The 16,103-nt window shown below is 38.0% G+C and overlaps 1 long non-coding RNA gene across 1 annotated transcript in view; it reads left to right on the top strand.

Annotated features, from left to right (window-relative positions):
• Positions 1-476: 476 nt before the first annotated feature.
• The window catches only part of LOC105379062 (uncharacterized), a 50,894-nt gene continuing 35,267 nt past the window's right edge, over positions 477-16,103 (top strand). The window contains exon 1 of the long non-coding RNA XR_948532.2: positions 477-607. This is a non-coding gene — a long non-coding RNA (uncharacterized LOC105379062). The remainder of the gene's footprint in view (positions 608-16,103) is intronic.

Consider the following 16,103-nt stretch of genomic DNA (forward strand, 5'->3'; position numbering starts at 1 on the left):
ATTAGAGGGTAGTACAGTGTTAAGCTGTAATACTCAGAGTGTTACTGATGGTTAGGTGGTCAGAGAGACAAATGTAACTGAATGGAAAGGGCAGAAGGGTCACAAGGGAGCACAGGAATGCTATGAGCAAGACTGAGGAGGGGGCCTAGAAAGGAACTTAGCAGTTTTCTCCAGTTTAGAAGATTGTGTGTGCCATTTGTTTGTATATTTTCCTTTATGATTTTTTTTTTAAACTATTTCACATAAAAAAATTGTATAAAATTTTCCATGCGTATAAAATTTTATTTACAAAGAGTAAAAAAAAAAGTGTTATTTTTTAACACAATCTATATAAATATATAATTCATTCTCATTCAAATCAGCTTTGACAATCTCATTGTCTGTGCATTTTCCTGTTGAGTGCATTTATAAAATAAGAACAATTTATTTTATTATATCAATGATATAATTTAGATTACATTTTTAACTTTTTTTAGGTAAATCTTCTGCTTCAGAGACTTTGTAACCAGACCCGGGTTCAGCTGCTTGCTGCTTGAAAGCCACACATAAGGGGTGAAGTTTGGTGGAAAAGCAGGTTTGATCAGAGAGCCAGCAAACTAAGAAGATGGTGAGCTAGCATTCTAAAGTATCATCTTAAATGTTGAAATTTACCATTTTTGTTTGTTGTTTGTTTTTTGGGACGGAGTCTCACTCTGTCACCCAGGCTGGAGTGCAGTGGTGCGATCTCGGCTCACTGCAACCTCTGCCTCCTGGGTTCAGGTGATTCTCCTGCCTCGGCCTCCTGAGTAGCTGGGACTACAGGCGCATGACACCACACCGGCTAATTTTTAGTATTTTTAGTAGAGATGGGATTTCACTGTGTTAGCCAGGATGATCTCGATCTTCTGACCTGGTGATCCATCCACCTCGGCCTCCCAAAGTGCTGATTACAGGCGTGAGCCACTGCACCCGGCTCACCATTGGGTTTTTAAAGGGAAATTTTCTATGGATGACATGCAAGAGTGGTGCGGAGTAAACGGTCTGTGTGTGGTATTCCTGATGGCTATCTTTAATAAGTGTCCATCTGCAGGTTTAGTGGCATTATTTTGACTTCATCTCGATGGTAATAGACTAATTATCTGTGACTCCCTCCAAGCAGAGGATTTGACAGGGGCTCCAGGCCTGGTTTGTTTCAAGATTAGCCTCTAGAATTTCTTCAGCATGCATTGCTGGAGAAGAGTGTCTAGAGAGAAGAGGAATGAAGAGGGGGAGAAATAGGAGGGAAAGAAGAAAAAGAAAGGGGATGATTAAAATGTATTTTTAGTCAGGGCATGGTGGCTCACGTCTATAATACTAGCAATTTGGGAGGCTGAGGTGGGAGGATTGCTTGAGGCTGAATGTTCAAGACCATCCTGGGCAACAAAATGAGACCCCTTCCCTATAAAAAATAAAAACAAATAGCGAGGGTGACAGAATGAGGCCTTGTCTCAAACAAACGAACAAAAAAATAGCCAGGCATGGTGGCACACACCTGTAGTCCCAGCTACTCAGGAGGCTGAGGAAGAAGGACTGCTTGAGCCCAGAAGGTCAAGACTCCAGTGAGCCTTGATTGTCCACTCCAACTTGAGCAACAGGCCATTTCTTAAAATAAATAAGTAAATAAATAAATATAATAAATATATACACACGCATACACACACACATATTTTTTTAAAACCAAGGTCCCCAGTTACAACTAGAGTCCAGAAATACGTTAAAACAAAACAATTCCTTCAAAAATTGCATTTCTGTTGCAATTTACAGAAGTTTTTTTACTTTAAATTTTGCACTCTCGCTTCAATTTTGCATTGTTCAAACTTCTCTCCTCCTTGACCTTACCTATTTGGGTTATAATTTACCTTAAGTATGAACTGTCTTATTGTACTTCACCTGATTATTTGTATAAAGTGCAACAAGAATAATTATTTACCATATAGCCTCCTTTTTCTTTTATTTTTATTTTTTGTTTAGTTTTTCCTTTTTTTTTTTTTTTTTTTTTTTGACAGGGTCTTACTCTATTGCCCAGGCTGGAGTGCAGTGATGCAATCACGGGTCACTGAGTTAAACTTCCTCAGGCTCAGGTGATCCTCCTACTTCAACCTCCTGAGTAGCTGGGATTACAGGTACACACCACCATACCTGGCTAACTTTTCTATTATTTGTAGAGACAAGGTTTCACCAAGTTGCCAAGCTGGTCTCGAACTCCTAGGCTCAAGCAGTCTGCCTACTTTAGCCTCACAAAGTGTTGGGATTATAGGTGTGAGCTACCACGCCTGGCTGGCCTCCTTTTCTTTTTTTTTTTTTAATTGGCTTTGCCGGAACATTTTATTTTAATAATGAATTTCAGATTAGACCTTTTAAAAGCCTCTCAAGTCCATCCAAGAATTTATCTGTCTGCAAATGTCTGCAAATAAATTAGACCTACTATGATTTTATCTTCAGTAAAATTGGGGAATTGGATAGAAAAATTATGTTTCAACATCTGTTGAAACATGTACATCTGTTACTGGATTCTAGACATCTTCATTATTTTTTCAGTTTGTATTATACTTTACAATTTGGACTGAATCCTGAATTTTCTTTCTGACTACAAGTCCCAAACTAACATTTTCAATATTTTTCTCCAATTTTTCTGAGTTGAAATCACTAGAAATTAAAACTGCATTTCTTTTTTTATTTTTTGAGATGGAGTCTCGCTCTGTCACCCAGGCTGGAGTGCAATGGTGTGATCTCGGCTCACTGCAAACTCCGCCTCCCAGGTTCACACCATTCCCCTGCCTCAGCCTGTAGCTGGGACTACAGGTTCCCACCACCACGCTGGACTAATTTTTTGTATTTTTAGTAGAGACGGAGTTTCACCGTGTTAGCCAGGACGGTCTCGATGTCCTGACCTCAAGTGATTTGCCCACCTCGGCCTCCCAAAGTGCTGGGATTACAGGCATGAGCCACTGTGCCCAGCCTAGGATTACATTTCAACATGAGATGTAGGTGGGAACACAGATCTAAACCATATCACCTATTAATAAGAAAAGAAAATAAACTATCATTTTAAATCACAATTTACTAAATAATTTTACCCATCTACTGTTGCTCAAATCATGTGAATTTTGTGGTTGATACTTTTGTTTTGTCTATACTATATGCTGTTATTATAGAAGTATAACTTTCCCTTCAAAAAGGCTGATATTGCTGCATCGATGAAGTGTCAAATTCTCTAAAATACTTAAAGAGATTTTTGCTGAGCCAAATATGAGTGATCATAGCCTGAGGCACATTCTCAAGAGATCCTGATAACATGTATCCAAGGTGGTGGGGTTACAGCTTGGTTTTATACATTTTGGGGAGATATAAGACATCAATTAATACATGTGAGGTATATATTGGTTTGGTCCAGAAATGTGGGACACTCAAAGTTGAGGTTTACAGGACAGAGACGGATTCAAAGATTTTCTGATTGGCAGTTTGTTGAAAGAGTTATTATCTAAAGACCTAGGATCAATAGAAAGGAGTGTCTGGGGTAAGATAAGAGGTTGTAGAGACCAAGGTTCTTATTATGTAGATGCAGTCTCATGGATAGCCACCCTTAGAGGCAATAAATGGCAAATATTTTCTATTCAGACATTTAAAAGGTGCTATACTTTCAGACAATCTCTTCAATATCAGAAAAAAACCTGAAAAGGAAAGGGGATTCTCTACAGAACGTAAACTTCCCCCCAAGAGATAGCTTTGCAGGACCATTTCTTTGAAATACATTTTGGAATAAAATATTTTGATCTCTTTCTGGGCCTGCTACCTGTCAGGCAATGTTATACTAGATTGAAATTAAAAGGTGGTATTTTATTGCTACAAAGAGTCAATTTTGTCAGGCATAACAACATTGTTTTAAAGTTAATGCTGGTCAATTGTGCCTGAATTTCAAAAGGAGGAGGGTATACTAAGGCATGTTCTACCAGCCCTTTCCATTATGGCCTAAACAAATTTTTTTTTTTTTTTTAAGGTTTCTTTGAAATCTTCTTGGCCAATAGGAGTTGTCTATTTAGTTGGTTAGGGGGCTTAGAATTCTGTTTTTGATTTACATTTCTCCTCTTTCTGGTCAAGATTTTCCAGAGGAAACATCTATGGCCAAACATTATTTGTCCAATACTGCTGCCAGGGTAGTGTGGCTGCCTGCCTTGGGTCCTTCCTGTCTGTCGGTGGGACCCCTCTGTCAAAGGGACTTAGAGATGAAAGACTTAAAGGCAACTTAAATGTTCTAGGCAAAATGGGAATGAAGGTGGACAGGTATTCATTAACCTTACAATTATTTAAGCCATATAAAAGCCAGAAATCAAAAGCCAAAGCCAAGATTACCAACTTGACTTATCTATAACTTATATGCACTGAGTTATTGTAATCCTGGTTTTAGTTATAGTCTTGTAGCAATTAACTATACAAAACATAAATATTTTGTTTAAAAGAGCTAAGGAATTCAACAACTTTTGTTGTACCATAATGCTTTTTGTGGTCTTCTTAGTAGTTTTTCCTGAGGAGGCTGATACATTTTATTAACATGTATCTGCATAAATCTCATAACTGGGAGCATTATACCTGGAAGATTTTTCCACTAAGTATCTTGATATTCTCTCAGTAATTTTTTTTTTTTTAATTTTATGAGAAGTAGGAAATTCCTTGTGGTTGGGATGGATGAAAATGTGCCAGATAACGACCCAAGGCAAAGTCCCTCATTTCACCAGCTGTTTAGGCATCTGTGTGCCCATCCTTGATTGTGAGGGTCTGAACTAATTATATCCCTCAAAACCAGTTTTTACAATCTCGCATGCCCACTTCTTTCATATACACCCTGGGCCTAGAGGGAGGATGTTTGCATAGATTGCAGCAGGGCATTGGAAGTGAAAAACAGATTGGGTCCAGTGGGATTCCAAATGAGGGGGATTGCCAGGCTTTGTGAAATCATGTCTAATCTTCAGAATGCCATGATTCTGGTTTTCTTGGAAGAAGCAAAACAATGAGAGATAAACAATATTAATAATTTGACAATCAAAAGAGAAATTGTGTGTTAGAACAGAAAAAGAAACCTATTTCATTAGGGTGCCAACCAAAAATGTCATGAAGAAAATTTTGACCTGGTTTGTCTTTAGAGGACAATTGTAGCCAAAAAATAATTCATGATTCAATCTACACACAAAAACAAGGGTCAGGGCTAGAATCTAGCAATAGGTGTGTTATAGTTTTCCTTTGAAACATAATATCTCTCTCTCTAGCTCTTCTTTTCTACTAAAGATAAATGATAGTAAGACCAATTTGTGTGCAAAATAAGTTTTAGGCTTACGATACTTGGACTGATTATTTGCCTAAAATGCAGCAAGAATTGTTTGGCCATATAGTCTCTTTTCCAGTTGATTTTGCTGGAACTTTGTTTAAGAATATGTTGTTCTAGTTGGCCGGGCGCGGTGGTTCACGCCTGTAATCCCAACACTTTGGGAAGCCAAGGCAGGAGGATCACGAGGTCAGAAGATCAAGACCATCCTGGCTAACACAGTGAAACCCTATCTGTACTAAAAAATACAAAAAATTAGCCGGGCATGGTGGCAGGCGCAGTCCCAGCTACTCGGGAGGCTGAGGCAGGAGAATGGCGTGAACCCGGGAGGCGGAGCTTGCAGTGACCCGAGATCGCACCACTGCACTGCACTCCAGCCTGGGCGACAGAGCGATACTCCGTCTCAAAAAAAAAAAAAAAAAAAAAAAAAAAAAGAATATGTTGTTCTAGTCAAGGCCTTGGTAAAATAACTAGTGTCTCCAATTGTGTCATGTTTCAAAAGAAAACAGTTACTGAAATTATACAAATAACCATGCTGCCATAAAAGAAGAATACTCACAAATAGTTTCCAAATTCTGGAGAACCCTGGTAGAAGAGTAAATCCTGCACACAAAAGTATACTTTACAACCAGAGTAGCAGCCTTCCAAACAGAATGTCGTTTATTCACCTTAGAACTGCCATCTACGAACCAAGTAGTTGCCATTGAGAGGTGCTCACTGGCTTCTGCCACAAGCCCCAGTAAACACTTCACAAAGGACTGCCAAATGAGTTTGTCCCTACCAGCAATCCAGCTTCTATCTTGTATTCTGTGGGCCTGGGCAATCTTACTGGTTCCCATTTGCATGTCCAATTAATATTAGTCAAATGGCAGACTTACATGCCTTCTGTTTTATAGTATAGGTAGGGGAAATACCCCCCTAGTCAGATACAGTATCCATTTTTATAAAACATTTAAGTAAAGAAGTCACAACTACTTCATATAAAGCCTGTTTAAACTTCATAACTTTCATAATTCTATCAACCCTTACATTTTTATGATCTGGTCTCAGTAGCTTTTCTTCTCTACCCCAAGACCATTTTACCTACACTTGTGAAAAAGTATTTGGGTTCCCGGCAGGGAGTTGAGCCTAGGGACTCAAGCCCTTTTGTCATTCTTTATCTTCACTTGCCTCAACATTGCCCCATGCAATGTCAGCTTTCTCACTGTAACCTATTCCTTTTAATTTTTCTTAAATTTCTTCATTCCAGAGTAAATGCACAAAACTGGTGTGGGGCCCTTTATTGTTGAGGGACCAGCTGGGGTTCCCTGTGGTCCATCTAACCTTCAATAGTGTTGTACTAAGACCTTGTTTTAACACTATACTCTTAATTTTATATATTTCATTTCTCAATAACTATCTAAAGATTTCCACTCTTCTGGGGTGAGTCCTTTGACTCCATTTGATCTTTGCCCCCGCCTTTTATTTATTTATTTATTTATTTATTTATTTATTTATTTGAGACAGAGTTTCTCTCTTGTTGCCCAGGCTGGAGTGCAATGGCACGATCTCTGCTCACCGCAACCTCCACCTCCCAGGTTCAAGCGGTTCTCCTGCCTCAGGCTCCCAAGTAGCTGGGATTACAGGCATGCACCACCACGCCCAGCTAATTTTGTATTTTTGGTAGAGACGGGGTTTCTCCATGTTGGCCAGGCTGGTCTTGAACTCCTGAACTCAGGTTATCCGCCTGCCTTGGCCTCCCAAAGTGCTGGGATTACAGGCATGAGCCACGGCACCCAATTTTTTTTGTTTTGTTTTGTTTTTCACTCTAATGTTTTATTAGTATCTATAAGACGAATGAGGGAGAGCTGCAATAGCAAATTTGATAAAGCTTCTCAAACTTCTGTTTAATTCTTCAGGAGTAATGCCACCTGGGGTGCTCATGTAGAAGGAGTTCCCTTAACCAGAGCACTTACCGTAACCTGGGTAATGGGCATATTCAGTGGGTAAATATCTCAGTCATCGTAAAGCCAGTCCCACATGGCTTGCATATGAAGCATATCAGCTGCTTCATCTGGGGTCCTCCACTTGGTTTTTATAGAGAGAGTTGGGCAGTCACCTTCTTAGGGCAAACAGACCTTCCAGTGGCTTTTCTCTGGTCAACCAGAGCTGGCTGTTCTATCAAGAATAACCTTCTGTGTTTCTGGATTGCATATACTCATCAGCAATTGTTTAATAGTGAGCTGTGGTTCCTGTATCAAGCCAAACGTGTTCTTTCATTCTGTAGCATTTAAAATTAAAGATACTTACCTTACATTATTTATTCTTACCATCCATTTTAGTAAAGGTTTCTCAAGAAGCTGATGATACCAACTTACAAAATTGAACAATTTCTTTATATTACACCCTCTGGTTTTAACAGTTCCTTGGTTTTGCCCTTCTGTTATAGCAGATAGTTAGTCAGACATGAGCAGGGCAAGAGAGGGATCCCCCACACTCCACCAGGAATATCAGGCAACCATCAGGTGATGATCGGGGGTTGATAAGTGTCTTTCTAAAATAATAATTGGTCACAGCTAGTGCCAGGGAAAGGCAGCCCCTCAATAGATAGAAACACCTGAAATTGGTGATCAGCAGCTTCCCAATAAGATATCAGGAGCTGGGCGAGTGAGCTAAAGCACGTGCATTTAGAAGCAAAATGGCCGGGCATGGTGGCCCATGCCTGTCATCCCAGCACTTTGGGAGGCCGAGGTAGGTGGATCACCTGAGGTCATCAGTTTGAGACCAGCCTGGCCAACATGGTGAAACCCCCTCTGTACTAAAAATACAAAAATAAGGCTGGTGTGGTGGCAGTCTCCTGTAATCCCAACTTCTTGGGAGGCTGAGGCAGGAGAATTACTTGAATCTGGGAGGCGGAGGTTGCAGTGAGCTGAGATTGTGCCATTGTACTCCAGCTGGGCAAAAAGAACAAAACTCTGTCAAAAAAAAAAAAAAAAAAAAGCAAAATGAATGATGGAGTTTAATTGCTATATGACCTACCAGGGACTTTGTCTGGTAAGGAAAGAATGCCTCAAATGTATATGCGTACAGCTCTAGTAAACACACTGTGCATGTGACCTCTTCCAAGTGCTGGCAGGACAGGGTGCATATGCACAGCCCACCTCGAGGGAAGAATCAGGGAAGAAGGGACCCCAGAAGTATGCCAACATATGAAACCCTGAGTCAAAGGTCAAACTATGCACTTGATCTCTCGAGTCATCCATTGGCCCTCTTCCAAGTGTACTTTACTTCCTTTCATTCATGCTCTAAAGCTTTTTAATAAACTTTGCTCCTGCTCTAAATCTTGCCTCAGTCTCTCTTTATGGCTTACCCCTCCTTGGTCAAATTCTTTCCTCTGAGTAGGCAAGAATTGAGGTTGCTGCAGACCTATATGGATCCACTGTTGGTAACATTTTCCCCACATTGACCACCTTCTTGGTAATCACAAGTGTCAGAGGTACTTTCTGTTGACCTGGCTTAATTTTTCCTTCTGTGCCTAGCTTTGAAGTGAGTGATCTGAGCTCAGACAGCACCACATCTAACTTTGGTCCTGCCTTAAGGCCCAACACAATATTGTTTCACATTTATTTTAGCTATTATAGATAAGTATAACCAAGGGATTGAATATTTTGCTTTTTACATATTAGTTTGCATTTTCTTATGCATCCTGTGAACCAACTCCTCAGAAGTATAACCAATCTCTAAATTCCCCTGGATCTTCTATCTTTAATAATTGAATGAAGCCCAGATGCTGCTCCAGTACTATAGGTGACAGTGTGGCCATCCAGAAATCAAAGGTTCTTTATTCCCACCCTTTTATTTTTCATCTTTTTATTCATTTAGTTTTACCTGTATCATTTTTTCTTTATTTTAAAGCAAACTTTAAATAGCCTCTAAACTAGAAAAAAATTACATTTTCTTTAGCAAAAACAACATTCTCATATTTTTTTATAAACTTCACCAAGAACAAATCTTACTAGCCTACTATTTTAACTCTTGGTAACTCTAATTCCCAGTGGGGGAAAAAAAAAAAAACTAGATTTACTTAATTTAACGTAATATAACTTAAAGGTTTTAAATTAATAGAGATAATTTTGAGACTAAATTACTCTTACCAAAGATAACCGAAGTCATGTGAACAAAAGGCCATCTGAGCTAGCTTCTATTAGTCTGTTTACTTTTCTTTAAACCAATTAATTGAAGCTCTTTCATAAAATGTGGTAGTGAAATATCATTTCCACATGACACATATAAACATATAGAAATGACAGGCCCATAGACAGTGGCAGATCTTACAGATTTGAGATTTTTCATTTGCCTGTTTTCATAACTTTTACCTGCTCTGTTAGACTGTTAATCTCTTGATTATCTGTTCTATGTTCTAAACAATTGTTGACTAGGCAACTCTAAATCTGCATCTCCAAAGACATGAGTTAGGTGAAACAAAGTAAAAAATTCACATGTTAAAGGCACAGACTTAGATCTAAACCAAGGCAAGGTCTATTATGTAAACTTTAAGCCACTGTCTTCCCCATAGTTAAAATTCCTAACCCTTACTCTCCTACTTTCCACTAGGCACACTCCCTTGAATTGCTAGCTTATCTAATTATGTTTGCTTAGAGAAGTTTCAGAGACTGAATCTTTAGACAATCCAGATGCCTATGGAATTCTCCCCCACCAGGAGATTACTTCAAGGCTGCAGCTAATTTACCACACAGCAAAGCCTGAGATGGTGCCAGCCCATTCACCAGATGGGGCAATAACTCAAGATAAGTCATCTGAACAAGTCACAGAGCTCCACTGCTTTGCTCCACTGCTTGCCCTCCACACCATACTTCCCCTTCTTAAATCCTGGGATTTTGCCTGAGAATTCTGAAGCAGTTTTATTAGTGTCCGAACGACTTCCCCACTGCAAGCTTTGGAAAATAAAGTCACTTTTCTTCTATTACACCCCATCCCTATTATTTGATTTTGCAAGCGTTGAACAGCTGAACCTGCATTTGGTTATGTTTGTAGTGAAGAAACCTCTTTATAATTAAAAACAGAAAGATGTGTTTTTGCTGTTCTGCCTCAGTATTTCTGGAAAAATCAAGTGTCTATGTTCTAAGAAAGGCAGAGCAAAATAGGAAGGTACGCAATTTAATGATTTTTCATAGAATCTTAAGTTTTTATATGTTGGATTATCTTTAAAATATAAAAATTATCATCATCATAAAGCCTTTTATTTGAATAGCTTTTTATTTCATTTGTTTCTTTATGGCTACCTTATAGAGTGATTGGCATCATTGCTATTTCACATGAGAGAGGGCCATGACTCATAATTTAGGGGCATAAAAATTATTTGAGGTCTCAAATATTAGAATATTTACTTTATACAAATATGTGAAAATGAATTTATATAAGAACATATCCATTCCCCCAAAGTACGTCCAAATTTACAGGGTCATTAAGTTAAGAGAATTTCCAGTATTAGTTCCATAATCTGCAAAAAATCAATTCTGCAGTGAAGCATGAAAAAATAACATAATTTTCCTTCTCTCCAAAAATACCCAGGCAGTTTTGTTTATTCTCTTCCCTGTCCCAACCCCCAATCCCAGGCTATATCTCAGAACAATTTATTGGTATATATTTTTTGGAAATACACTGCTACTATTGCATTATTTTTCCATTTTGATAGCGTGTGGGACATAGGCTCTTGGCCCCATAAAGTTTCCCTAAAAATCACTGACATGAGGCAGATTGATTAATAGGAGTAAAGCCATGCAATATATTTTTAACATATATAAATGAGAATCTTCAGAATGAAAACCCCACTTCCCAATGAGTTACAAAAAAAATTTTGAAGTTACAGAAAAAAAAAATGTGGGCTTAAACCCTAGTAAAACTTTTTAGGGGAGAGAGAAGAAGCTTAGCAAGCAAAGGTGGCCTTGTTACGTAGATGAAATCTACCTCAGAAAAAAATAAATGATAAATGTTTCTTTGTAGACTTGTAAAAGTGTCTGACTTTTAATCTCTCCTGGATCTTTGGAAAGGCATAGAAAGGGGCAGGGGAATGGCTGCATTCACGGAGATTCTCTACAGCTGCAAATTTTCCCCGCTTAACACAGCTTTTGCAGGACCACTTCTGCCAGGAAATAGCTAAGAGGTAGCTATTTCAAAATAGGTCAAATAAATATATTTTGGGGTAAAATATTTTAATTCCCTTCAATAGCTAATTAGTCTTTTATAATGTTATGGAAAAGTATATAGTTGTGTGTGTGTGAATGGTAAAATGAATTTATAGGATTCCACTATGATTGGATATAGTGAATAAAGTGAAGTCATTGGACTAGAAGTTCTTTCAGGCCCTTTTCAGTTACACCCATTGTAAGTTTTTACTTTCTTGGTTTTTTAAAAAACATTATTTAAACTAAGATATTAGGTGATTAAAAGTTCATTGGAATATAATATCAAAGTTAATAGCTACTTTAACTAAAGGATAGTATGTACTGAACAGAGAAGAATGACAGAAATAGCACTGGTAGTTCCATGGATGAGAATAAGATGATAAAACACTATTATTCCTGCTGAAACTAATTACTATTCCCTCAATTACCAGTTTAAAAATATACCCCCAAGCATTTTACTAACAATTTTCATAAATGATATTAAAGCCTATTCAACTTTCCTGGAACAACTAATGAGAAACTTGTTCCATTAAAACAATAAAAACATATTTTTCTACAGTGATTATTAATGTGAAACTTTAGTTAATTTAGTTGCGCAGTTTTTATGATGAGAAGAAACCATTTTTCAAAAATTATAACTGAGGAAATTCTTATAGTGAAAGAGATCAGACCTAATTGACTCCATCTTGCTTTTAACCTTCAAACTGTCATTGTTCATTCGAGGGCATAGGTGGAACTAATCTTGGGAAGGAATTTAGTTTATGGGTTGACTCTGAAACAAAATTGATAATATCCTTTTTCTGAAAAGTCCCTGTTCTTGCCTGGGGACCAGTTTGCCTTTGTAGGACTAACAAATTAGCTACAAGATTAGAAATTATGGTTTAAGGGTCAGGCAGCCTCTGGCTACAAGAGTCTGAACCTGTCCAAATTGCTCCTGGGGATAACATTATTATTGTAAAACCTAAGATCAGTGCTTGAGACATTTTGCAGACCCTGCACTGGATGGATAAGCTTACACCACCCAGACTGGTAATCTGGGCCAACCAGTTGAGCAATCCCACCCAGGAATAGAGGACAGCAATGATTCCATCTCCAACCTGACCAATCAGCACTCTCCACTTCCTGAGCCCCTACCTGCCAAAATATCTTTAAAAACTCCCATATCTGAATGCTTGGGGAGACGGATTTGAGTAATAATAAAACTCTGGTCTCCCACACATCCAGCTTTGTGTGAATTGCCCTTTCTCCATTGCAATTACCCTGTCTTGATAAATGGGCTCTGTCTAGGCAGTGGGCAAGGTGACCCCGTTGGACAGTTAAAAGAATGATGCCTAATTTCTCTAAAAGAGTTTTCTACTCTTTTTCATATTTTAACCTTCTCATTCTATGTGTGATTTCTTTCCTTGTCTTATTTCTTTCATTTATAAATTGACTTTTACTATGAAGAAAATTCAGTGTAAATTATATTCAATCTGGCTCATCAATCTTCAAGATTATATAAAATATACTGCTCATTAAAGTTGCTGAGAAGTTACATTTTCAGGCTATTTTGTAAAATTATGTAGAGAACAACTTATCCAAATATATACAAACATATTTGATTAGAAATTTACTCAGGCAGGATTTTAAGTTTTTGTTGGATTTCCTTTAAAATTATGAAATATTTGCGGGGATGTAATCCTTTACTCTCTTCTCAAAGATCTTAATCCCAGAGAAGTAAATTATATTACCAGAGACAAGAGATGAGTAAATAGCAGATCAGCAATTAGATATGCTTTCATACATAGCCCACATTCTGGGTCCTTTTTCGGTACAGTATAAAACATATATTCAAGCTCAGCACCTACTACTTATTATTTAATGGGAACAATAGAGACAAAATTACTGGTACAGAATAAGAGATTAGATTCATTGCAATGACTTTAACTATATTGTATCTAAAATTCTTCTAAAGAGGTCTAGAAATTATCTTTAAAATGGTACAATTAACAATTATTTTATAATCTGCATTCATTTTGCACAGAGGACTTAAATAATCCACTTATGAATTGCTTGAAAGTATTTTACTATGTAAAATAAATATACCACATGCTTTAATTAAAATTAAAAATATGTTCTAAACTGTTAATATTTTCCTAGATTAAGTTTTGCTGTAGCTGTGGAGAATAAAAGAAGAATTTGGCCAACCACAGTGGCTCATGCCTGTAATCCCAGCACTTTGGGAGGCCAAGGTAGGCAGATTGCTTAAACCCAGGAGTTTGAGACCAACCTGGGCAACATAGCTAGAACCCATCTCTACTAAAAATAAAATAAATTAGCCCGGCATGGTGGCTCACACCTGTGGTCCCAGCTACTTGTTACCGGTGGAAGGTATTCGAGTTACTGGTGGTGAATTTGTATGGGTCTGCAGCAACCTCAATTCTTGCCTCCTCAGGAGAAAGAATTCAACTGAGGAACATAAGGCACAAAACGAGACTGAGACAACTTTTAGAGCAGGAGTGGAAGTTTATTTTAAAAGGCTTTAGAACAGGAAAAATAGGAAAGTATGCTTGGAAGAGACCCAAGTGAGCACCAAGGTTAAGTGCCCTGTTTAACCTTGATATTAAAACTTTATAGGCTGGCCCCTTTCCCATGATTCTTCCCTGTGAGCTGCCTCCATCCTCAGTGCCCTTCTTACCCTTAGGAGGAGGTGAGCATGCTCAGTGTGTTTAGGAAGTTGTGTGCATGCCCATTTGAGGCTTTTTTTTTTCCCCTTCTTCTGTCATGATCCCCTGGAAGGTCATATTCCATCATTTTGTCTCTTAATGCACCTACCCCGGAAGTTGCTTCTCTCTGGCATCTGCATTCACCAATTAATGCTGGTGCAACAGGTGTGGATCATCAGGACTGGCTGCCAATTTATCACTTCTAGAGAGGCAATGTGATAATTGCCAAACCACCACTGGACATTCCTAGTGGGTGGGGAAGAACCCTCTCCTGCCTCGCTCATGCCTGTCTAACAACCCGTACATACTCAGCAGGGGTAGGCAGGAGGATTGCTTGAGCCTGGGAAGTCAAGGCTGCAGAGAAAATATATGTCCAATAAAATGTATTTATAAAGAAAAAGGATCAACATTAAAATAAAGAGTTGCTTTAGCATTCATAAAATCAATTTTACAAAAATCCACATTTGAGTATTTTTATTCTTTTAGACGCTTGATTTAATTCATGTCTTTGTTTCAGAAATGTAATAATTTCTACTAATGTAAAGATCAGGGCACCAAGTATTTTAAGATTTCTGCTGAAATAAATGTAATATTAGTCTTTTTTTTTCTTTTTTTTGAAGACATAAAAATGGCCTATACTAGCGCTCTGGATAAGGTCTAATAGTTTCAAAAATATGAGTACTTGGATATATAGTTAGAAAATTAAGATTAGGGAAAAATAGAAAATGAACTATAACATTTTTTACTGCAATTTCTTCCTTCAAATGTAAAGCTAGTAAAGCATTCTTGCCTTTCCCAAATGATAAATATTCTATTTGTGAGTCTGTGGATGTCCACATGTCCACGTCTTTCTATGTGTAAATGCTAATTTTACTTATAAAAATAATGTATCAAAGTCCTCAATTTTTAAATTTAACATAAAACATTAGGTAAATTAATTTCTAGAACAGTATGTATATAGCTTTACCTCAAAATATTTGTTGGTTAAATGTATAACTTAACCTACAAAATTCACTAATGAATACATGTACAATGATCAATTTAGTCACTAAAGATATTCAAATAAGTTGTTCTTATTTTGGAACTATCACTTGCAATGCAGTGAGATAAAAGAAACTGAGTTACCAGCCATCACTTGAAATTTCCAATTAAACTTTGGCATGTGGAAAATTGGCCTCTGTTACAGTATTGCTGATGTCCACTGGAACTTCAAAAAATATATACTTATTGGTAATAGTGATACATAAATGCAATTGAAATAAGGTCTTTTGCAAGGTACTTTGCTTGGGTGGGGTTGAGAGTTGTTAAAACCTGTTAACACAATCTGAAAGCCAAGATAAAATCAAATGTCTTATGCCAGTTTTAGTGACATTCAAATGTTGCACCCATGGCAGAATTTGAAGAGGAGAGTAGTGTAAAATAGATTTTTTTTTTTTTTTTTGAGACAGAGTTTCACTCTGTTGCCCAGGCTGGAGTGTGGTGGTGCGATCTCGGCCCACTGCAACCTCCACCTCCCAGGTTCAAGCGAACCTCCTGCCTCAGCTCCCCTAGTAGCTGGGATTACAGGTACATGCCACCATGCCTGACTAATTTTTGTATTTTTAGTAGAAGCAGGGTTTCACCATGTTGGCCAGGCTGGTCTCGAACTCCTGACCTCAGGTGATCCACCTGCCTGAGCCTCCCAAAGTGCTGGGATTACAGGTGTGAGCCACCGCTCCCGGCCTAGATTTCTTAATTAAAGCGAAGCTCAGTAGTAAAAATCCTTTCATGCCAGCAAAATGCAAACCAATTTTTGAAAGTGTGCCAAGCAAACAAACAGCCGAGAGTGAAACAAATTTTAATCCTACTCTGCCATAACAAAGAAGATCAGGCTGTGGC

Source organism: Homo sapiens, chromosome 5 (genome assembly GCF_000001405.40).
Source record: "Homo sapiens chromosome 5, GRCh38.p14 Primary Assembly".
Lineage (NCBI taxonomy): Eukaryota > Metazoa > Chordata > Mammalia > Primates > Hominidae > Homo > Homo sapiens.